This window comes from Homo sapiens, chromosome 3 (assembly GCF_000001405.40).
Source record: "Homo sapiens chromosome 3, GRCh38.p14 Primary Assembly".
Classification (NCBI taxonomy): Eukaryota; Metazoa; Chordata; class Mammalia; order Primates; family Hominidae; genus Homo; species Homo sapiens.
The window spans coordinates 195,361,208-195,385,849 of record NC_000003.12 but is presented as its reverse complement, the minus strand read 5'-3'; the positions used below and the strand labels follow the sequence as shown (position 1 = coordinate 195,385,849).

Sequence of the window (24,642 nt, the reverse complement as noted above, 5' to 3'; positions counted from 1 at the left end):
TTTAAGTCTGACCATCTATATTATTTGTCCCGTATCTGGCCTATAAAACCCTACAGGGGAAGTTACACAACTGTTTGGTGAAACCAACTGATGGTGCTACACATTCCTGGAATTCTTGATATAAAGCAGTTTCCTCCAGACCCAGTCAGGTGCCTTTCTTGTTACCGTTAGTGGCTCTTCAAGACCTCAGGATTTGCCACATTGTTCTTCATTCTCAACAGATGACCTTGTCTCTTCTTCTGCTTGGTGGGAATGCCTTTATTTCTTGCTGCTAATCTAGAAGTTTAACAGAATCTGTTCTTACCATTTTAGTTTTTCTGCTTCTTTGAATAATAAAAGTATCCCTTTTTCTATGCAGTTCCAAGCCCCTTACCTCCTCAGGACTTTGCTTTAGCATCTCTCTCCTTTCCCTTCTCTGCCACCTCTATCTTAAGTAGATAAAGATTTTTTTTTTTTTTTTTACTAAGTTTGTTTCTTAGTAAAACAAAACAAAAGCAAACAACAATAGGAAAACCTCTCCCTCTGACAAGGAAGCACAAATCTCTATTGAATAATTACCATGTGCCAGTAAGTTTGTGCTAAGAATCTTTTTTTTTTTTTTTTGAATACAGAGATAGGGTTGTTGACCAGGCTGGTCTCAAATGCCTGGCCTCAAGAGTTCCTCCCATCTTGGCCTCCCAAAGTATTGGGCTTACAGGCATGAGCCACGCCTGTGCTAAGAATCTTTATGTGCATTCCCTTAGTCTTTTTTTTTAGTAACCATATATGGTTTGGTACCATTGTTATGTGTGATACAGAAGAAGAAATGGAAGTTTGTTGAGGTTAAGTTCACTCAGTCTCACTTAGATGTTTAAGTATGACAGTAGGTTGAACCTAAGCAGACTTAGCTGAGAACCCTATATTTTTTGCCGTAATATTTTACTATTAACCTGTCTCTCTTTGTTTTTATGGAAACTTTTAATTATTTTTGAATTTAATTTGTTGCATAATACCACCTATGTAGTACACAATTTGAAGGTAAAAAAGTGTGTACCCAGTGAAAATCAGTCATTTTCTAATCTCTTTCCTAGAGGAATGCACTGAACTAGTTTCTCTTGCGCCCTTGTGCAATTTTCTTTTTTTTTTGAGACAGCCTCGCTCTGTCACTGAGGCTGGAGTACAGTGGCATGATCTCAGCTCACTGCAACCTCTGCTTCCCGGGTTCAGGCAATTCTCCTGCCTCAGCCTCCTGACTAGCTGGGACTACAGGTGCGCACCACCATGCCTGGCTAATTTTTGTATTTTTAGTAGAGGTGGGGTTTTGCCACATTGGCCAGGCTGGTCTTGAACTCCTGACCTCAAGTGATCTGCCCAACTTGGCCTCCCAAAGTTTTGGGATTACAGGCGTGAGCCACCATGCCTGGCCTTTTCACAAAATTTTCTAAGTATATAAAAGTATTTGTACTCTTCAGTACAAATGACTCTCCCCATTTCAACAAAAATATTAGCACTGTTCTACATTTTGATTTTTCTCTTAATATATCGTGGATGTTATTTGTTGTTATAGAGCTGTCTCATTTTAAAAAATGGTTGAATTGTATTACCTTTCATGGCTATATCATAATTTATTTATCTAGCTGTCCACTGAGAGACGCTTAGCTTGCTACCAATATTTTACTGTTACCGCAGTGAATATCTTTACATGTGTCATATGGCCTATCTGTAAAATATAGTTGTAGAATACATTTTAAAAAGTGAAATTGCGAAGTTAGAAGGTATGTATGTTTTAAATTTTGATAGCTCTCGCTAAACTGCCTTCTGTAGATATTGTACCAATTTACACTCCTACCAACAATGCGTGAGAGTGACTATTTCCCCATAACTGCCCTCTTTAAAACAGCATGTTATCAAACTTTTTCATCTTTGCTGTTAGTAAAAGAAAAAAAAATAGTAATTTCCATTTCTTTTATTATAGTGAGAATGAATATCTTTTCATGGGTTTAAGACACATGTATCTCTTTTTTGGGGGGTAATTATCTCTGCATGTATGTTACCCATTTTTTCTAGTGAATAGTTGGATTTTCAAAATGATTTATATACCCTTTTTTATGGTACGGAAACTTGTCCTTTGTGATTTATCTTAATATTGTTTTCCTATGTTGTTTCTTTTGACTGTGTTTGTTTTTTCCTTATAGAAATGTCTTATTATGTAATTGGATTGATCAGTTTTTTTTTGCATAGTATTTGAGCTTTGCATCCTTCTCAGACTTCCCACTTTGAGATTATTGAAAAAAAAAACCTTCTCTTTTCTCTTTGATTTCTGATTCTGTTTTTATGTTTAAATCTTTATCTATAATTAACTTGGGAGTCTGTAATACAATTTAATTTCTTTTTTTATCCCCTTCAGATGACTATCCAGTGTCCCTAATATCATTTATCAGATAACTTTTCCCCCACTGGCTGGAGTATTACTTTAATCAAATATGGCATATTTGTATCTGTTTTTTTGACTGTGTATTCTTTTACATTGATCAGTTTGTCTATTTGCATTTACTACCAGACTTTTATTTACTATCTTTTTATAATATATTTTAATATCATATAGTACTAATGTTCCTACCTTATTACTCTTCAAATATTTTTTTGCTCTTCTTGCATAGTGGTTACTCCATATGAACTTTAGAATCAGTTTTTCTGGCAAGACATTTTATTTTATATTGTAAATAGCAAACAATTTAAAAGACATCTGTGCCAGCATTTCTCACAGTGGGTTTTGTGGAATATTGGTCATATAATAATGCTTCCTCTTAACAAGAATTCCATGGTCACATATTTTTGGGAATTGCTACATATTATATACCTCCCCTCTTGGATGCACATTGATAAATCAAAAGCCCTTAACAGTATAGCAATATCTTCTGTTGCCTTTTCTAGGAATCCTTCCCTGGTCCCCACAGCCCTCGTTAGATGGTCTTCCTTTTTTTTTTTTTTCCATGCATAGTTTTGTCATAGTAGTTGTGTTTGTGCTCTGTAGAATTTATCTACTTGTTAGAATTATAGAATTAGAGTTTTTGAGAGCAGAGGTGATGTTTTCATTTTCTGTTCCCCTAGGTCTCAGGGCAGCAGTTTTAATTTATGCTCTTGAGATCCTTCAGGAGTTTTCTAAAGTTTTTCTTGGCTCTTTATCCTCTTCTTGGTGACCCCCCTTTGCATCCCCTTAGTACTTTTCTCTCCTTTGTCTAGAACAGTTTCACTTTTATCTGTTTTTTAATATTTGACATTTACCCAAGATTTTGGTAAAAGAAAATGTTCTGTGTCTGAAAGAAAGGAGAGAAAGAAGGAAGGAAGGAATGGAAGAACAGGGAGTTGGAGGGATAAAGGGAATGAAAAGAAGAAGGACGGGAGAGAGAGAAAGAGAAAGATGAAAGAAAGAGAAGAGCCCGGTACTAAGGCTTAGACAATGCCTGGAACAATAGGTATTAGAGACATTTTTTTTTTTTGAATACATGGTTGATTAATCACTTTAGCTATCTGCGTTGATAGACTAATATTGAAATGATCACTAAGCTATCATACAGTTTACTTACCTTTCCTCCAAAATACTTTTGTTGTTGTTATCACACAGCCTCTGGATCCTAAATGGTCAACTTTTCTGGTACAACTCTGCTACGAATTTACTTTATAAGCTGAAGGAAAAAAGAATACTTTTCAATTAGTCTGTTTTGAGTTTATCGATGAAACAAATTGAACTTAACTAGGTCACCTCATATAGTTACTGCCAACACTTGTTCAACTAAGTAATTTGTAAAACTATCTTCAACCTGATGAATTTTTTTTTTCTTTTTCAGCTTGTGAAACTTTGTATTGCAATGATTGATACTGGAAAAGCCTTTTGTGTTGCAAATAAACAGTTCATGAATGGGATTCGAGACCTGGCTCAGTATTCTAGTAATGATGCTGTCGTTGAGGTTAGTATTACTAAAATTGCAGTTAAAAATGAAAAAAAAAAGCAATAAGACATTAAAGAATTGTGCATTCATCTACCTGATTTATAGTTATGGTGATACTTAAAATTAGAAGTAGAAAAGTGGTCACCCCTTGGTGCTCTCTTGTATGATTCTGTTTTCTAAGAGAAGGTGATGGTTGATTTGCATTGCGCATTATCTAGCATGGCTCTTCTCACCTAGTTTCTCATTGTTGTGGTTAGTTTATTAAGTTTACTTGCTGCTAGGTGAGCTGAAGCACCTGTCAGAGGGCCTGAGCAGGAAGATCAAGATCATGCCTACTAGTAGCTGCTTATAGGGGCACGCAGAGAGCATTAACCTAAGTACAGCGTCTTAACTGTATGTATAGGGGGCTGTATAGGTTCTGATTAGCCAGCTTATGCTCGGTTAGCTTAGATTCCTTGGTATACTATGTGGTGTTATATTTCTTTCATGAGAAATAATAACTGGTGAAGAAATGGGTGTAGTTTGATGATGATTTGATTCTAGATGCCTACATGGGCCATCTTGATACACGCAAAACAATTTTACCTTAGGTTTATATTTACCATTTCTATTGTTAGCATAATACCGTTGAAGGGGCAATATTAATTCTTTCACATTTTTAGGGTTTTATTTGTTACCACGTGTAGAGGTGACCTCTGCAGAGTGTACCCATAAGGTAGTGTGAGATTGTCATTGGAAATAAATGTTACTGTTTACAGTGTAACTTGATCTTCTGTCAGAAATTCTGAGGTCACATTTTTGTGACCTATTTAAGTGGCTCATAAATGATTTGGTTTTCTTTTGCTTTTTTTCTCATAGACAAGTTTGACCAAGTTTTCTGACAGTCTTCAAGAAATGATAAATTTTCACACAGTAAGTGTCAGTAAGTAGGTGTTACTATGACCATATTAACATTTTAGTATTTTTCTTGAGTCGCAATGTTTTATGAAATGACTAAAAGGGAATTACATGGCTTTGATTGGTCGTCAACTTTTTAGCTGGGTGAATCTAAAATGTACGCTGTGTGTGTATTTGTGTGTGAGTGTGTGTGTGCATGCATGCCTGTGAAAGAAGAGAATAAGAGTATTATTTTCCATTCTAATATAGTGAACTTAATATCATTGAAGGACATATACCCAAAAGTTAAATTTTTTCCCTTTAAGTTGTGGCTTTGTAAAATTTTTAAGCATGTACTTAAGAATAAAGAAGTAAAAGTCATTTTAAATGTAGCTGTTTCTTTTTAGATACTTACCAATATATTCCCTTTATCTAAACAATTACCAATATTAAAGAGTGCTATATTCTTTGAGCTATTTATATGTGTGTTTAAGATTTGTGGGCATTTATCCTTCAAGAATGAGGGATATATATTACTTTGGGAGTGTCACAAAATTCCTTTACAAAGTTTGCAAAAGTTTACTGCAAATATGGCAGCTTATAAGCTGTATGTTTCTTATATTTTTTAAAAAGCTTAACTGATATGGCTGTTGTATAATTATTTAATCAGTGCTTTAAAATTTATTAGCCAGTCTGTAATAAAAATATCAATACTTATAATCTTCATAAAATCTGCTTGTTTTTGGTTCTTAATTTGATTTTAATTTTTTTTTGTTGGTTAGCATATTTAGGATGCAGTAATATGACAATGTTTATTTTAATTATAGTTCAAATTTTAGCTATGCTAATATTGACATGTACAAGTATCTGCTTGAGTGCCTGTTTTCAGTTCTTTTGGGCATGTACCTAGGTGTAGACTTACTGGGTCATATGGTAATTCTATGTTTAACTTTTTGAGGAACTGCCAAACTGTTTTCTACAGAGACTGTACCATTTTACATTTCCACCAGCAGTGTTTGAGTGTTCCAAGTTCTCCACATCGTTATCAACACTTGTTATTGTCAATTTTTTAAAAAAAATTATAACCATCCTAGTAGGTGTGAAGTGGTATCTCATTGTAGTTTTGATTTGCATTTCCCTAATGACTCATGCAGTTGAGCATCTTTTATGTGCTTACTGGTTTTTTGTGTATCTTCTGTCATTGTTACCATTGTTGTCTATTGAAGTCCTTTATTTATTTAGAGATGGGGTCTCACTCTGTCACCCAGACTGGAGTGCAATGGCACAGTCATACCTCACTACAGCCTGGAACTCCCAGGCTTAAGTGATCCTCTTACTGTAGCCTCCCAATTGGCTAGGACTACAGGTATGTGCCATCATGCCAGGCCAATTTTTTGTTTGTTTGTTTGTTTTTGGTAGAGATGAGGTCTTGTTCTTTTGCCCAGGCTAGTCTTGAACTCCTGGGCTCAAGCCGTCCTCCCGCCTCAGCCTCCAAAGCACTGGGATTACAGGTGTGAGCCACTACACCCAGTCCCTTTGTCAGTTATTTAATTGGGCTTGTGTTGTTGTTGTTGTTGTTGTTGTTGACTTACACTTGTTTTACATAGTTTGGATATTAAACCCTTATCAGTATATGTTATACAAATATTTTCTCTCATTTTGTAGGTTTTCTTTTTTACTTTCTTGAAAATATCCTTTGACACACAAAAGTTTTTAGTTTTGATGAAGTCTGAAGTTCAGTTTATCTATTTTGTCTTTTGTTGTTTGTGCTTTTGGTGTTATGTGTAAGGGAATCCATTGCCAAATTCAAGGTTATAAAGATTTACCCTTAGGTTTTCTTCTAAGAGTTTTATGGTTTTAGCTCTAGTATTTGACACCAATTTGACCACGTAATAGTTTTCTTTTTGCCTTCTGTTGAATTTAGATGGCAGTGTTTGGTATATTTGATTTCTCTTTAATAAGAAAGTTTTCTTTTTTTTATATAAGTGATTGACTGTAAATTGACATAATAGACTAAATGTTTTTTCTATAATTTATTATCCTTTGAAATATTCCTCTCCTTTTCTTTAAAGCAGTAAATCTTATGCTATTTCTTTATATAATAATACCTTGCTCTTATGGTTTTAAATGTGAAAAGTTATGATTAAGATAAACTTTTGGCAAATAATTTTTTTTTTTTTTTTGGAGACAGAGTCTGGCTCTGTCTCCCAGGCTGGAGTGCAGTGGTGCGATCTTGGCTCACTGCAGCCTCCGCCTCCCGGGTTCAGGTGATTCTCTTGCCTCAGCCTCCCAAGTTGCTGGGGCTACAGGCATGTACCACCATGCCTGGCTAATTTTTGTATTTTTAGTAGAGATGGGATTTTGGCATGGTGGCTAGGCTGGTCTCAAACTCCTGGCCTAAAGTGATCCACCCGCCTTGGCCTTCCATAGTGTTGGGATTACAGGCGTGAGCCACCGCACCTGGCCTTGAAGCAAGGTATATATGTATTATTTCCTTTGGAGGAATAGAGATTTTTTTTGTTTTTTTTTGTTTGTTTGTTTTGTTTTTTGTTTTGAGACGGAGTCTCGCTCTGTTGCCAGGCTGGAGTGCAGCGGCGCAATCTTGGCTCACTGCAACCTCTGCCTCCTGGGTTCGAGGGATTCTCCTGCCTCAGCCTCTGGAGTAGCTGGGACTATAGGGACGTGCCACCACGCCCAGCTAATTTTTTGTATTTTTAGTAGAGACGGGGTTTCAACATGTTGGCCAGGATGGTCTCGATCTCTTGACCTTGTGATCCGCCTGCCTTGGCCTCCCAAAGTGCTGGGATTACAGGCGTCAGCCACTGCACCCAGCTGAGATTGGTCTTTTTAATACTAGTGCTCTTAATCTTAATGTGCACCTACATTCCTGAAACCTAAGCAGATTCCACTTTTCTCACTTTCTTTCTCTCTCCTTCCTTCCTCCCTTCCTCCTCCTCCCTTCCTCCCTTCCTCCCTCCCTCCCTCCCTCTTCTTTTTCACTATTCCTTATACTTGAGAAACCTCATACTCTCTGTTGACTCTAAAACTCATGTTGCTTTAAAAAGATAATTTTTATACTAAGAAAAAAACCACTTTTTGTCCGTCTGCCTGGAGGTCTGAAGGCTGTATGTTGGTCAGCTTGTTTGTGTTTACGTACATGTTTCTATACATGAAGAACTTTTTGTCTGACACTATACCCAGAAGTCCAGTGTGTATTTTGTTCCCTTATTATTTTTGACAGCGTCTCAGAAATTTTCTTTTTAATAGATATAAAAATGAAATTGTGAGTCCTTGGTTTACTTTCTTTTAATTTTCTTCTTTTTATAGTTAATATACCATCTATTCTATCTGGCCTTTTTGTTGTTTTGTAACCAATACTTTAAATTTTTTTCAGTAGGAATGACTTGTGTCACTTGAACTAGAATTCCTATATTTGTGGCAAAAGTTCTTCCCTCATCATAGCCCTGTTATACTTCACGTTAATTAGACGATGGCTAGGGATAACACTTACCTTGTTTACTGTTATACTCCCAGTAGTTACATAACTCTCATTTTAGGGAAGTCATTTAATTTCTCTGACATTTACATTCCTCCTCTGTAGGCTGGGCGTGGTGGCTCATACCTGTAATCTCAGCACTTTGGGAGGCTGAGGTGGTTTGATTGCTTGAGCCCTGGAATTAGAGACCAGCCTGGGCAACATGGCGAAACTCGGTCTCTACAAGAAATAGAAAAATTAGCTGGGTGTGGTGGCTCATGCCTGTAATCCCAGCTACTCAGGAGGCTGAAGTGTGAGGATCACTTGAGCCTGGGAAGTTGGGGCCACAGTGAGCTGTGATTGCACTACTGCACTCCAGCCTGAGTGACACAGTGAGACCTTGTTTCCAAAAAAAAAAAAAAAAAAAAAAAGATTTACATTCCTCCTCTGTAAAATGAAGGGGATTTACTAGATGACTTTCCATTATTAAAAATTTATAAAATCATGAGGCATTTATTATAAGATTTAAATTTGGTCTCAGAGCCATTTGTTAACATGTAGGAAAAGCCTAGTTACATAAAATGCTTTATTTTTGTAGCATTCTCTGGAATTCTAATTACATAGCATCCCAATATAAAGGATGATTAGGAAAAACTGCTTTCTAAAAGATAATAAATAGTGTAACCTGCATTAGATTCTCTAGCAGAGCTCATAACAGTTGGGCTTTGGTATATCAGTTTGTGTAAGGATAAAAGTCTGGATATTCCAGAGGTGTCATTTACCAACTTTGTGGGCTTAAATAGATGTTTGAAAATAATAAAACCATTTGTGTTATTAGCCACGTAAAGATTAAACATATGTTGGAGTCAGATTGTCCAGTCATTTAATAAAATAAATCATTTAGATTATCATGTAATTTATTTATTTATCTGTAAAAATGGATAGAACTCTTCTTATTCCTTTTAGAATGAGAATATCCTAGGTTTCTCTTTAACTCATATGTTTTTGTTGTTGTTGTTGTTTTTGTGAAATGGAGTCTCGCTTTCTCTCCCAGGCTGGAGTGCAGTGGTGCGATCTTGGCTCACTGCAACTTCCACCTTCCAGGTTCAAGTGGTTCTCCTTCCTCAGGAGTATTATGTTTAAACTTCTTTTGTTTTATCACAATATATATATATCTTTTTTGAGATGGAGTCTTGCTCTGTTGCCCAGGCTGGAGTGCGTGACCTTGGCTCACTGCAGCCTCCACTTCCCAGGTTCAAGTGATTCTTGTGCATCCGCCTCCCGAGTAGCTGGGACTACAGGCACCCACCACCACACCCGGCTAGCGTTTATATTTTCAGTAGAGATGGGGTTTCACCATGTTGGCCAGGCTGGTGTCGAACTCCTGACCTCAAGTGATCGGCCCACCTTGGCCTCCCAAAGTGCTAGGATTACAGGTGTGAGCCACTGCACTTGGCCTTAATGCATATGTTTTTATAAGATGTGAACACACATGACTTTTTCAGAGCAGGTCAGGTATGCTACATTCTACTAGATATTAGAATTGGTTTGAAGAGTGGCTTATTTTCCTAGAATTTAAGAGATTTTGGTGACTCCATTGATGACACTTTTGGATTCTAATTTGCTGTTGGTATAAGGAACTTGGAATATTTATTTGATATTTATTTGATTATTATCTTTGCTGAATGCAGCTTTAACGTTGATTTGCTACATAAATTCTATGAACATGTATGACTCTTTTTGTTGTCTGTCTATCATTTTTGAGACAGGGTCTTGCTCTGTTGCCTAGGCAGTAGCATGATCATAACTCACTGCAGCCTTGAATTCCTGGGCTTAAGTGATTCTCCTAGGAGCCTCAGCCTTCTGAGTAGCTGGGACCACAGGCATGCATCACCGTGCTCAGCTAATTTTTAATTTTTTTGTTGAGATGGGGTCTTGCTGTGTTGTCCAGGCTGGTCTCAAACTCCTGGGCTGAAGTGATCATCCTGCCTCGGCTTCCCAAAGTGCTGGGATTACAGGTGTGAGCCACTGTGCCTGGCCAGTATTTTTTTTTTTTTTTTTTGTACAGTTGATTTTTCAATTTAGAGCTGTACACTTAGTCACTCAACTAATGGTTTTAGGCAGTGAGAACAGGGTAGTTTCAGTGTTTCACAAGTCATCTCATTTCATGGCACAGATTGAAAATGATAGTCATGTTTGTATGGAACACTGGAGAAAACTTCATGGGGAGATAAGGGCACCTATCTGGGTGAAAAAATTTTAAGGTTCTTTTTAATGGAATTATATTTTTAGAAAACACAGTATTAGGGAAGATATTATGTATTGAATGTGTATAACATGTCCAGATATTTTATTTTTATTTATTTATTTTTTATTTTTTGAGACAGTCTTACTCTGTCACCCAGGCTGGAGTGCAGTGGTGCGATCTTAGCTCACTGCAACCTCTGCCTCCCGGGTTCAAGCGATTCTCCTGCCTCAGCTTCCCAAGTAGCTGGGATTACAGGTGCCTGCTTCCAGGCCCAGCTAATTTTTGTATTTTTAGTAGAGATGGGGTTTTACCATGCTGGCCAAGCTGGTCTCTAACTCCTGACCTCAGGTGATCTGCCCGCCTTGGCCTCCCAAAGTGCTGGGATTACACGAGTGAGCCAGTACGCATGGTCCAGATGTTTTAAAAAATAAGGCTGAGCTTGCTTCAATAAACTTAACTTTAAAAAAAAAAAGGTCTTCTATGGGATGCTGAGACAGGAGAATGGCATGAACCCGGGAGGCGGAGCTTGTAGTGAGCCGAGATGGTGCCGCTGCACTCCAGCCTGGGCGACAGAGCGTGACTCCGTCTCAAAAAAGAAAAGAAAAGAAAAGAAAAGGTCTTCTGCATGAAATATTTTCAAGCAATTCCTGATCAAGATTTAAAATTGATGATCCTTTCAAATTATTGGTCATTGTTAATGACGAGAAACTGCCTATATAGGCATATTAGCAAAAGGCAGAGGAATATTTGTTGCCCTTTTCCCCTAACTCTCAGGAGCTCCTCTCTCACATGTAATTAGAACTTAAATAATTTCATCTTCTTAAGTTGTAGTTCAAAGAGGCAATCATTCATAAAATGGAAGTGCTCTTCTTTTTCTCTGATTGACACAAGTAATGCTTATATTTTCTGGGATAAATTGGATTTTTTGTTTCTTAGATGGAGTCTCGATCAGCCCCCAGGCTGGAGTGCAGTGGCCTGATCTCGGCTCACTGCAACCTCCGCCTCCTGGGTTCAAGTGATTCTTGTGCCTCGGCCTCCCTAGTAGGTGAGACTACAGGCGCTTGCCACCACGCCTGGCTAATTTTATTTTTTATTTTTAGTAGAGATGGGGTTTCACCAAGTTGGCCAGGCTGGTCTCGAACTCCGGACCTCAAGTGATCCACCCATCTTGGCCTCCCAAAGTGCTGGGATGACAGTGCCTGACCTGGATGGATTTTGAATAAAATAATGAAGCCTTTCTGCAGGTTTACACCGAAGTTGCTCTACCTTTTCCCCCTTCTGCCTACTTTTAATAATTCTTTTTTTGAATTCAGATTTTAGCACTGACTCACTTAGTGACTCAGTTTCAGCCTCATGTTTCCACATTCTGAATCCATAAAGTTTGTCAGTATATGTTTTTTTGAGACAGAGTCTTGCTCTGTTGCCCTGGAGTGCAATGGCGTGATCTCGGTTCTCTGCAACCTCCACCTCTTGGGCTCAAGCAGTTCTCCTACCTTAGCCTCCTGAGTAGCTGGGATTATAGGTGTCCACCACCTGGCTAATTTTTGTACTTTTAGTAGAGATGGGCTTTCACTATGTTGACCAGGCTGGTTTCCAACTCCTGACCTCAAATGATCCACCCGCCTCGGCCTCCCAAAGTGTTGGGATTACAGGTGTGAGCCACTGTCCCTGGCAGTATATGTGAATTGTCAAAAATTTTAAGGACTGCTTCATATAAGTTAATCAGATAGCAGGGTGCCAGTTAGTAAAGCCATTTTTTAAAGTCAATAACTAGTGTTAAACAAATCTGCAAGTTGAGAATTATTCCTCCCAAGCTGTTTGAATTCTACTTTTAATTCATAAATTTTAGCAAAATTTGTTCTCTGGAAGTCAGTGCACTTTTGTGTGAAATGGAAGACAGTGATATTCTCATAGTATTTCTTTGATGATACTAAATGTTTAAATAGTCTTAGATTATTTATCATTTTGATAACATTTAATTTGGGATTAATATGTATCATATCTACATGCATACTTTTATATATGAAAGATCCTCTGTAAAATATTTTACTAGATCATCAGAGTTTTCCAAATAAATTTTTTATTTTTATTTTTAAACGAACTTCTGGGCTCAAGCAATCCTCCCACATCACCAAGTGCTGGAATTACAGATGTGAGCCACTGCACCTGGCTCCAAATAAATTCTTAATGTAAGTTTACATCTTGTAGTCATTGTTAGCTACACTATCAGTATGCAAAATTACAGTGTTTCCATAATATCTTTTTTGTTTCACAGTTTTTCTTTAGCATTTTTACTTTTATCATTAGGCTTTTTTTTTTTTTTTTTTTTTTTTTGAGATGGAGTCTCGCTCTGTCGCCCAGGCTGGAGTGCAGTGGTGCCATCTTGGCTCACTGCAAGCTCCGCCTCCCGGGTTCATGCTGTTTATTATTAGGCATTTCTTTAGGTAGTTTGCAAAACAGTCAGTGCTCTTCCGAGGTACTATATTCAGAGTTTATTTATTTTGTTTTGAGACAGAGTTTTGCTCTGGCACTAAGGCTGGAGTACAGTGGTATGATCAGAGCTCACTGCAGCCTCTATCTCCTGGGCTCAAGTGATCCTTCTGCCTCAGCCTTCCAAATAGTAGGACTACAGGTGTGCCACCATGCCTGGCTAATTTTTTTTTGTAGAGCGGGGGTCTTCCTGTGTTGCCCAGGCTGGTCTTGAACTCCTGAGCTCAAGTGATGTTCTTGCCTCAGCCTCCCAGAGTAGTGGGATTACAAGGTGCGGGCTATTGTGTCTGGCTTTTTTTCTTTTTTAGAGACAGAGTCTCACTGTGTTGCCCAGGTCGCTGCTGAGGTCTTGTGCTAAAGTGATCGTCTCCGGGACTCCCAGGTGCTGAGGTCGGAGGCGTGAGTCACTGTGTCCAGCCTCAGGTGTTCTTTCTGCTGTTAGCTTGAGCGCAGTTACTCATGTGCAGAAGCTTCACTCAGAATGAAAAAGTTTTGATAGAGTAGCATTAGTCATTATGCATGTGTTTATCTGGCATGCCATAAAATGTTATTCTCTTAATGAAATGTGGCACCTTTTCTGTTTCTTGTTCTGCTTTGGAAATTAACAAAGTTCTTGACATTTTTTTCCTGTAGGCTGGTACGTTTACAGTTCTGCAATTGTATGCAGCATTCTGGCTGTAGCTCTTAATTGAGTAACCTTGTAGTTAGCTTCTCGATCTGATATTATTGTAACTAATCTCGTAAAATAACTTTGTGTCTTATTTTGTGTTTGCAGAGGTTTAGCCTGCAAATCTTCCTGTATGAATGTAATTCTGCTTTCTTAAAATGTTTCAATGTAAATTTTATTGAAAGATTATAAAATTAAGGATTTTGGGCTGGGCGTACCGGCTCATGCCTGTAATCTCAGAAGTTTGGGAGGCCGAGGCAGGTGAATCACTTGGGGCCAGGAGTTTGAGACCAGCCTGGGCATGGCAAAACCCCATCTCTACTAAAAATACAAAAATTAGCTGGGCTTGGTGGTGTGTGCCTGTATTACCTATATAACCAGCTACTTGGGAGGCTGAGACATGACAATTGCTTGAGCCCGGGAGGTGGAGGTTGCAGTGAGCCAAGATCACGCCACTGCACTCCACCTTGGGTGACAGAGGAAGACTGTCTCAAAAATAAAAAGAATTTTGGGAGCATTCCCCTTGAAAACCAGCATAAGACAAGGATGCCCTCTCCCACCACTCCTATTCAACATAGTATTGGAAGTCCTGGCCAGAGCAGTCAGACAAGAGAAGGAAATAAAGGGCATCCAAATAGGAAGAGAGGAAGTCAGACCATCACTGTTTGCAGATGACTTGATGCTATATCTAGAAAACCCTATAGTCTCAGCCCCAAAACTCCTTCAGCTGATAAACAACTTCAGCAAAGTTTCAGGATACATAACATGCAAAAATTAGTAGCATTTCTGTACACCAACAACATCCAACCCGAGAGCCAATTCAGGAACACAATCCTGATCACAGTTGCCAGGAAAAGAATAAAATACCTAGGAATACAGCTAACCAAGGAGGTGAAAGATCTCTATAATGAGGATTACAAAACATTGCTCAAAGAAATCAGAGATGGCACAAATGGAAAAATGTTAAATCCTCATGGATAGATAGAATTAAGACTGTTAAAATGGCCATACAGCCCAAGGAATTTACAGATTCAGTGCTATTCCCATCAAACTATCAATGATAGTCTTCACAGAACTAGAAAAAAACCTTAAAAAATTTATATGGAACCAAAAAAGTGTTCGAATAGCCAAAGTAATCCTAAGCAAAAAGAATAAATAGAGCCGGAGGCATCACATTCCAGACTTCAAACTATTTTTTTTTTTTTTTTTTTTGAGACAGAGTTTCACTCTAGCTGCCCAGACTGGAGTGCAATGGCACAATCTTGGCTCACTGCAACCTCCACCTCCTGGGTTCAAGTGATTCTCCTGCCTCAGCCTCCCAGGTAGCTGGGATTACAGGTGCCCACCACCATACCTGGCTAATTTTTTGTATTTTTAGTATAAGACAGGGTTTTGCCATGTTGCCCAGGCTGGTCTCGAACTCCTGATGTCAAGTGATCCCCTGCCTTGGCCTCCCAAAGTGTTGGGATTACAGGTGTGAGTCACCACACCTGGCCCAGACTTCAAACTATGCTACAGGGCCCCAGTAACCAAAACAGCATAGTACTGGAGCAGAAACAGACACAGACCAGTGGAACAGAGAAGAGAGTCCAGAAATAAAGCCGCACACCTACAACCATCTGATCTTCAACAAAGCTGACAGAAACAAGTAATGAGGGAAAGGACTTCCCTATTCAGTAAATGGTGCTGAGATAACTGGCTAGCCGTGTGCAGAAGATTGAAACTGGACCCCTTCCTTATACTGTATACAAAAATCAACTCAAGATGGATTAAAGACTCGAGTGTAAAACCCAAAACTGTAAAAACCCTGGAAGAAAATCTAGGAAATACCATTCATGACATAGGCCCTGGCAAAGATTTCATGACAAAGATGCCAAAAGCAATTGCAACAAAAGCAAAAATTGACAATTGGGACCTTAAAGAGCTTCTGCACAGTAAAAGAAACTGTCAACAGAGTAAACAGACAACCTACAGTGGGAGAAAATATTTGCAAACTACTCATCCGACAATGCTCTAATATCCAGAATCTGTAAGGAACTTAAACAAATTAACAAGCAAAAAACAACCCAGTTAAAAAGTGGGCAAAGGACATGAACAGACACTTCAAAAGAAGACATACACAGCCAAGAAGCCTGTGAAGAAATGTTGAGTATCACTAATAATTAGAGAAATGCAACTCAAAACCACAATGAGATTCCATCTCACACCAGTCAGAATAGGTATTAATAAAAAGTAAAAAACACATGCTGCCAAGGTTGTGGAGAAAAGGGAATGCTTGCTTATACACTGCTGATGGAAGTGTAAATTGGTTCAACCATTGTGGAAAGCAGTGTGGTGATTTCTCAAAGACCGAAAAGCAGAACTACCATTTGACCCAGCAATCCCATTACAAGGTATATACCCAGAGGAATAAAAATCATTCTACCATAGAGACACATGCACACGAGTGTTCATTGCAGCACTGTTCACAATAGCAAAAACATAGATTCAACCTAAATGCCCATTAATGACAGATTGGATAAAGAAAATGTGATACATATGTACTGTGGAATACTGTGCAGCCATAAAAATGAGATCATGTCCTGTAGGAACATGGATGGAGCTGGAAGCCATTATCCAAACTAACATAGGAACAGAAAACCAAATACCACATGTTCTCACTTGTAGGTGAGAACTAAATAATGAGAACATGTGGACACAAAGAGGGGAATAACTGTCCCTGAAGCCCTTGAGGGTGGAGGGTGGGAGGAGGGAGAGGATCGGAAAAAAATAACTTATCAAGTACTAGGCTTGTTACCTGGGTGATGAAACAATCTGTACATCAAACCCCCATGATAAGAGTTTACCTATATAACCTGCACATGTACCACTGAACCTAAAATAAAAGCTAAATAAAAAATTAAGCATTTAGTAAACAAAACAATAATTCATTTTAGTCAGTGTCATAAATATTACGTATGATCAGAAAATCAGATTTAAAAAAATGTTTTTGAATCTCTAAAGGCCTACAATTTATTTAAAATAAGTTTTAATTATGTACACTTAATTTCTTCCTCTTTTTTTTTTTTTTGTTTGTTTTTGAGACATAGTTCTGCTCTTGTTGCCCAGGCTGGAGTGCAGTGGCACGATCTCAGCTCACTGCAACCTCCGCCTCCCAGGTTCAAGTGATTCTCCCGCCTCAGCCCCCCAAGTAGCTGGGACTACAGGCACCCACCGCCATGCCCAGCTAATTTTTGTATTTTTAGTAGAGATAGGGTTTCGCCATGTTGGCCAGGCTGGTCTTGAACTCCTGACCTCAGGTGATTCACCCGCCTTGGCCTCTCAAAGTGGTGGGATTACAGGCGTGAGCCACTGTGCTCTGCCGATTTCTTCTTTAGAAATGATTTTTATGGTTAGGAGTTACTATAAATGAAATTTCATCAAGTCACACTTTAGCTAATTAACACCAAAAGCCAATGATAAATAAAAATGAAGAAGTAACAGCTGAAAAATAACAAAAACAATTATATTCTAATAAGAATCTGTAATACTAAATGATGATGCTATGGAAACAACGATATGTAATTTCATGATTAGTAGGAAAAATATGAAAAATAACATGAAATGATAACACAAATTGTGGTAAAATATAGTTTTGGATGATTCAAATGGGAATGCAGGAGGAAGAATTAATATAGCTTTGGCAAAGTAGTAATTACTACATTCAGAAATTTAACAAACAGTGGCTGGGATAACGCCTGTCATCCCAGCACTATGGGAGGCAGAGATGGGTGGATCATTTGAGGTCAGGAGTTTGAGACCAGTCTGGCCAACATGGTGAAACCCCGTCTCTATTAAAAATACAAAAATTAGCCAGGCATAGTGGTGCATGCCGGTAATCCCAGCTACTTGGGAGGCTGAGGCAGAAGAATCGCTTGAACCCGGGAGGCGAAGGTTGCAGTGAGCTGAGATCGAGCCACTGCGCTCCAGTCTGGGTGACAGAGAGAGACTTGGTCTCAGAAACAGAAACAAACAAAAAACCAGAGAGTTAACAGACAGGCATACAAATAGTACCAAAATGTAATTTTAGCAGTTGTAGATTCTGAATTATACCAAGTAGTTTGCAGCTTTAAAAATCACTATAAAAACTTATAAACATCAATATCTTAAATACGGCTACCAACATCTTGTCAGTAACTTTGACTGTTTAACAACTGCCCCAAAACTTTGTGACTTAAAACAGCCACCAAGTGGGGCTTGGAGGGATCAGCTTACTTCTGCTCTAGTTGGTGCTGGCTGGGTGGCTTGACTGTGGCTGAAGGATTCAGCATGTCTGCTACCTTAGCTGGAGTGGCTGGAATGACTGGTGTTGGCTGAGCTTCTTTCACCCTTTGGAGTCTCTCATCTTCTAGGACTTCTCTCTCTACATTTGGCCTCTCTCCCCAGCAGGCTAGTCAGACTTCTTAATGTGATAGTTGGCCTTCACGAATGTGAAATCAGTGGGTACATGGTCCCTTAAAGCCTGGGCCTACAAGTCACATCGCATCACTTCTGCATTCTTTTGATCAAAGCAAGACTCAGAGCCACCCCAGATTCAGGGTAAGGAAAATCAACTCTACCGTGTGAGTGGGAGAGTGGCACGCACCTGCAGGGATGGGAGGAATTGATGGTGGTCATATATATAGGTTGCCTTTCAATACCTGATCTGTGTGCCAGGACTCAGTGTTAGGAAGCTTGACAATAGTCAACTAATCCCCATTCCCCCAGAGTTTTATTTATGTCATTTGAAGTGTAGCATATAATTGAAAAAATCTCCCCAGGTGATCCTGACATTGCAGTAAAGTTTGAGAACCACTAGTAAAGTTTGAGATAACTGATTCTTAATGAGTGGTCCCTGGACCAGCAGCATCAGCACCATCTGGGAACTTGTTAGAACTGTAGATTCTCAGAGCCCACCCTAGATCTGCTGAATTAGGAGCTGTGTCTGGGAGCTAGCAATCTGTGTTTGAACAAGCCTTCCAGGTGTTTCTGATGTATTCTAACATTTGAAAACCACTGTTTGAGAGCACAGTTTGGCAAACCATGCGTTGCAGGCCATATCCAGCCCATTGCCGTTTTTTTTTTTTTTTTTTTGGCGGGGTTGGGGGGCATATAAGTTTTTACTGGAACACAGCTATGCTCTTCTGTTTCTGTATTGTCTATGGCTACTTTTACACCACAGCAGCAGGGTTGAGTAGTGTGATAGAGGCCTCATGGCCCACAAGCTTCAATGCTTATTATATCTAGCCCTTGGCGGAAAGAGTGTCCTGATGACTGTTGTAAAGGACTCCTTCATTTTTCCCATTTACGGAGACTGTATCTGCCATGACACACACTGAAGAGTGGTCCTTTTAATGTTAGTGAATGTGACTTAGTGGTTTAACTGCCTTTCATGAATTCTTCTCAGTAAAATGGTGTTGGATGAACCAGGCTAATTAAAACCAGATTGTTTGCGAATAAGAAGCAGGCATTAGTAATTTTTAAGGCTCCCCATGTCATTCTAGTCTGCAGCCCAGTTTAAGAAACAGTGGATTGTTTCCTGTAAACAAACCACCTGGAGATCTTGGTAAATGCAGATTCAGATTCTCCATTTCTAACAAGACTGGGGTGGTTCTAGCGATTCTATAGTTCTGACCAGCTCCCAGGTGATGGCGGTAATGTTTGGTCACACCTGGCAAGCTTTTAAAATACTGATTCTGGAGTCACCAGTGTCTCTAATTATTGCAACATCTGTGTATTTAAAAGTTGCCCAAGTTATTTCAATGTGCAACCAATTTGAGAACCACTGGGTAGAGCAGTTTGGTACCAATGTTTGTATAACAGAATCATCTGGCAAACTTCCTAAAAATATAGAAGCAGCCTATGTTTCTTCAACAAGATTGCATCTTTGTATTTTCTTTTAGTTTTCCATGTGATTGTGATACAACACTAAGCCAGTGGAGAACCACTGCCTTAGAGGAAGGAAGAAAAGGTTTGGAGAAACAAATTAGTACAGGTAGAAGGGCCAGACATGGTAGCTCACGCCTGTAATCCCAGCACTTTGGGAGGCCAAGGTGGTGGGCAGATCACTTGAGGTCAGGAGTTCGAGACCAGCCTGGCCAACGTGGTGAAACCCCATCTCTACTAAAAATACAAAAATTATTCGGGTGTGGTGGCGCGTGCCTGTAATCCCAGCTACTCAGGAGGCTGAGGTAGGAGAATTGCTTGAACCCAGGAAGTGCAGGTTGCGGTGAGCTAAGGTCGCGCCACCTACACTCCAGCTTAGGCGGCAAAGGAAGACACTGTCTCAAAAAAAAAAAAAAAAATTACTATAGGCAGATGAAGTAGAGAGGAATAAATAATATTCATTGACATATTGCGAGCAATTCCTGATGATTGCAAAGAAGAGTTCTCTTTCTCTTCATTGATTTTAGGCCTAATGAGATTAACCAAAAGATCCAATGAATCTATAGTGGCACAAGCCATAGCCTTGCCCTTTTCTATAGATTCCGGAAAGGACAGGAATGATTATGTCATGGAGAATCATCAGAAGAGAGTGCTATGGTAGCTGAGTAATACTTAATGTGTTTTTTTTTTTTTAGAGACAAGGTCTCCCTTTGTCACTCAGGCTCGAGTGCAGGGGCATGATCATAGCACTGCTCTGGGAATCCTCCCACCTCAGGATGGTAGGTGTATGCCACAATGCCCTGATAATTTTGTTCTTTAAAACAATATTAGCAACATTTTTTTATTTAAAATTTTTGTGGGTGCATAGTAGGTGTGTATTTAGGGGATATGTGATATGGGATATTTTGATAATGTGTAATAATCAGAGTAAATGGGGTATCCAACACCTCAAGCATTTATCCTTTGTGTTACAAACAATCCAGTTATACACCTTGTTATTTTAAAATGAGCAGTTAAATTATTTTTGACTATAGTCACCTTGTTGTGCTAGCAAATACTAGGTTCTATTCATTCTTTCTAACTGTATTTTGTACCCATTAACCACCTCCACGTCCCCCTACCCTCCACCTAGCCTTCCCAGCCTCTGCTAACCATCATTCTACTCTCTATGAGTTCAATTGTTTTAATTTTTACCTCCCACAAATAAGTGAGAACACGCGAGGTTTATCTTTCTGTGCCTGGCTTATTTCACTTAACATAATGACGTCTAGTTTCGTCCATGTTGTTGCAGATGACAGGATCTCATTCTTCTTTATGGCTGACTAGTACTGCATTGTGTATATGTACCACATTTTCTGCAACCATTCATCTGTTGATGTACACTTAAGTTGCTTCCAAATCTTGGCTACTGTAAATATGCTACAGTAAACGTGAGAATGCATATATCTCTTTGATACACAGATTTCTTTTGTTTTGGATATACGTCTGAGAGTAGGATTGCTGGATGGTATGGTAGCTCCATTTTTAGTTTTCTCAGGAATCTCCAAACTGTTTTCCTTAGTGGTTGTACTAATTTACATTCCCACCAACAGTGTACAAGGGTATTCTTTTCTCCACATCCTCACTAACATTTGTTAATTGCTTGTTTTTTGGATAAAAACCTTTATTTTATTTATTTATTTATTTATTTGAGACAGAGTCTTGCTCTGTCACCCAGGCTGGAGTAGAGTGGCGGGGTGTCAGTTTACTGCAACCTCCATCTCCGGTGTTGAAGTTATTCTCCTGCCTCGGCCTCCCTAAGTGCTGGGATTACAGGCATGAGCCCCTGCACCCAGCCTTGGATAAAAGCCATTTTAACTGGTGTGAAATAATCTCATTGTAGTTTTGATTTGCGTTCGCTGATGATCATTGATGTTGGGTGCCTTTTCATATGCCTGTTGGCCATTTGTATGTCTTTTTTGAGAAACGTCTATTCAGATATTTTGCCCATTTTTAATTAGATTATTAGATTTTTTCCTAGTTATTTGAGCCCTTTATAATATTCTTGTTATAAATTCCTTGTTAGAGGGATAGATTGCAAATATTTTCTCCTGTGGATTGTCTCTTCACTTTATTGTTTCCTTTGCTATGCAGAAGGTTTTTAACTTGATGTGATTCCATTTGTCCACTTTTGCCTTGGTTGCCTGTGCTTCTGTAGGGTATTAAGAAATTTTTATCCAGTCCAATGTCCTGGAGAATTTCCCCAATGTTTTCTTTTAGTAGTTTCATAATTTGAGGTCTTAAAGTCTTTAATCCACTTTGATTTGATATTTATATATGGCAAGAGATAGGGCTCTAGTTTCGTTCTTCTGCAGTGGAGTTGTCTGAGCTTTATTTACTGAACAGACTGCCCTTTCCCTGTTGCATGTTCTTGGCACCTTTGTCGAAAATGAGTTCACTTTAGATGTATGGATTTGTTTCTGGGTTCTCTATTCTGTTCCTTTGGTCTGTGTGTCTGTTTCTATGCCAGTGCCATGCTGCTTTGGTTACTATTGCTCTGTAGTATAATTTGAGGTAATGTGATTTCTTCAGTTTTGTTCTTTTTGCTTAGGATAGTTTTGGCTATTCTGTTTTTGTGTGTGTGTGTGTGTGTGTGTGTATGTGGTTTCATATAAATTTTTAGGATTTTTTTTCTATTTTTGTGAAGATTGTCATTGGTATTTTTCTTTTACTTTTTTCTTTGTCCAGAGCAGCTGGGACCACAGGTGCGTGCCACCACGCCTAGTTAATTTTGTATTTTTAGTAGAGACGGAGTTTCTTCATGTTGGTCAGGCTGGTCTCGAACTCCCAACCTCAGGTGATCCACCCATCTCAGCCTCCCAAAGTGCTGGGATTACAGGCATGAGCCACCGTGCCCGGCCTGGACATTTTAACAATATTAGTTCTTCCAATTCATGAACATAGAATGTCTCTCCATTAATTTGTGTCCTCTTCAACATTTTGCATCAATGTTTTATAGTTTTAATTGTGGAGATCTTTCACTTCTTTGGTTAATTGCTAAGTATTTAATTTTATTTGTAGCAATTGTAAATGGGATTACTTCCTTGATTTCTTTTTCAGATTCTTCACTGTTGGCCTATGGAAATGCTACTGATTTTTGTGTGTTGATTTTGTATCCTGCAGCTTTACTGAATTTATCAGTTGTAATAGTTTTTTTGGTGGTCTTTAGTCCAAATATAGGGTCATATCATTTGCAAACAAGGATAATTTGACTTTATTCTTGCCAATTTGGATGCTTTTATTTTAGTCTCTTGTCTTATTGCTCTAGCTTAGGACTTCCATAATAAGTTGATTAACAGTGATGACAGTGGGCATCCTTGTCTTCTTCCAGATCTTAGAGAAAAGGCTTTCAGTTTTTCCCCATTCACTATTATACAAGCTCTGGATCTGTTGTATATGGGCTTTATTATGTTGAGGTATGTTTCTTCTATACCCAGTTTTTTGAGAGTTTTTATTATGTTGAATTGTATCAAATGCTTTTTCAGCATCAATTGAAGTCATCATATGGTTTTTGTCTTTAATTTTATGTATCACATTGATTTGCATATGTTGAATCCTTACATTCCTGGATTAAATCCCAGTTGGTAATCCTTTTAATGTGTTGTTTAATTTGAGTTTGCTTATATTTTGTTGAGGATTTTTTCATCAGTGTTCATCAGAGATATTGGCCTGTAGTTTTGTGTGTGTGTGTGGTTATTTTTTATGCATCTCTGTCTGATTTTGGTATCAAGGTAATAACTGGCCTCATAGAATGAGTTTGTAAGTATTCCCTCCTTTGCTATTTTTCAGAATAGTTTGAGTAGGATTGGTATTAGATGTTCTTTAAATGTTTGGTAGAATTTTGAAGTAAAGCCATCTGGTCTCAGGTTTTTCTTTGCTGGAAGATTTTTTTTTTTTTTTTTTTGAGATGGAGTTTTCACTCTTGTTGCCCAGGCTAGAGTGCAGTGGCGCAATCTCGGCTCACTGCAACCTCTGTCTCCGAGGTTCAATCAATTCTCCTGCCTCAGCCTCCTGAGTAGCTGGGATTACAGGCAAGTGCCACCACGCCTGGCTAATTTTTTTGTATTTTTAGTAGAGACGGGGTTTCAGCCATGTTGGCCAGACTGGTCTCAAACTCCTGACCTCAGGTGATCCACCCACCTTGGCCTCCCAAAGTGCTAGGATTACAGGAGTGAGCCACCGGGCACAGCCTGGAAGACTTTTTATTTGAGCTTTGGTCTTGTTACTGGTCTGTTCAGGTTTTGGATTTCTTCGTGCTTCAATCTTGGTAGGCTGTATGTGTCTAGGAATTTATCCATTTATTCTAGGTTTTCTAATTTATTGGTGCATAGTTGTTCATAGTAGCCTGTAATGATCCTTAGAATTTCTGCAGTATGGGTTATAATGTCTCCTTTTTCATCTCTGATTTTTTTATTTGGTCTTCTCTTTTCTTAGTCTGGCTAAAGGTTTGTCAGTTTTTTAATCTTTTTGAAAAACCAACTTTTTGTTTCGTTGATTTTTGTATTGTTTTCTTCTTTTTAATTTCATTTATTTCTGCTCTGGTCTTTATTTATTTTCTTCTGCTAACTTTAGGTTTAGGTTTGGTTTCCTTTTGCTTTTCTAGTTCTTTAAGATGCATCATTAGGTTGTTTATTTGAAGGTATTTTGTTTTTGATGTAGGCACTCTTAGCTATAAACTTTCCTCTTAATACTGCTTTTACTATATCCCATACATAGGCTTCGGTTTGTTGTGTTTCCATTATCATTTGCTTCAATAAATTTTTTAGTTTCTTTTCTTTTTTTTTTTGAGACAGAGTCTTGCTCTGTCACCCAGACTGGATTGCAGTGGCACAATCTCTGCTCACTGCAACCTCTGCCTCCTGGGTTCAAGTGATTTTCATGCCTCAGCCTCCTGAGTAGCTGAGATTACAGGTGCATGCCATTACACCTGGCTAATTTTTGTATTGTTTAGTAGAGACAGGGTTTCACCATGTTGGCCAGGCTGGTCTCAAACTCCTGGCCTCAAGTGATCTGC

At 38.7% G+C, this 24,642-nt stretch overlaps 1 protein-coding gene across 13 annotated transcripts in view; it reads left to right on the top strand.

Annotated features, from left to right (window-relative positions):
• Nucleotides 1–24,642, top strand: part of ACAP2 (ArfGAP with coiled-coil, ankyrin repeat and PH domains 2) — a 168,276-nt gene that overhangs the window by 57,171 nt on the left and 86,463 nt on the right. For 9 of the 13 annotated variants that reach the window (XM_017006049.2, XM_017006047.2, XM_017006048.2 and 6 more), the window contains 3 exons: nt 3,828–3,947; nt 4,788–4,841; nt 20,285–20,368. In XM_017006049.2, coding sequence (XP_016861538.1) covers nt 3,828–3,947; nt 4,788–4,841; nt 20,285–20,368 — 258 coding nt within the window. The remainder of the gene's footprint in view (nt 1–3,827; nt 3,948–4,787; nt 4,842–20,284; nt 20,369–24,642) is intronic. The other 4 variants (NM_012287.6, XM_011512603.3, XM_006713557.4 and 1 more) reach the window with 1 other exon arrangement.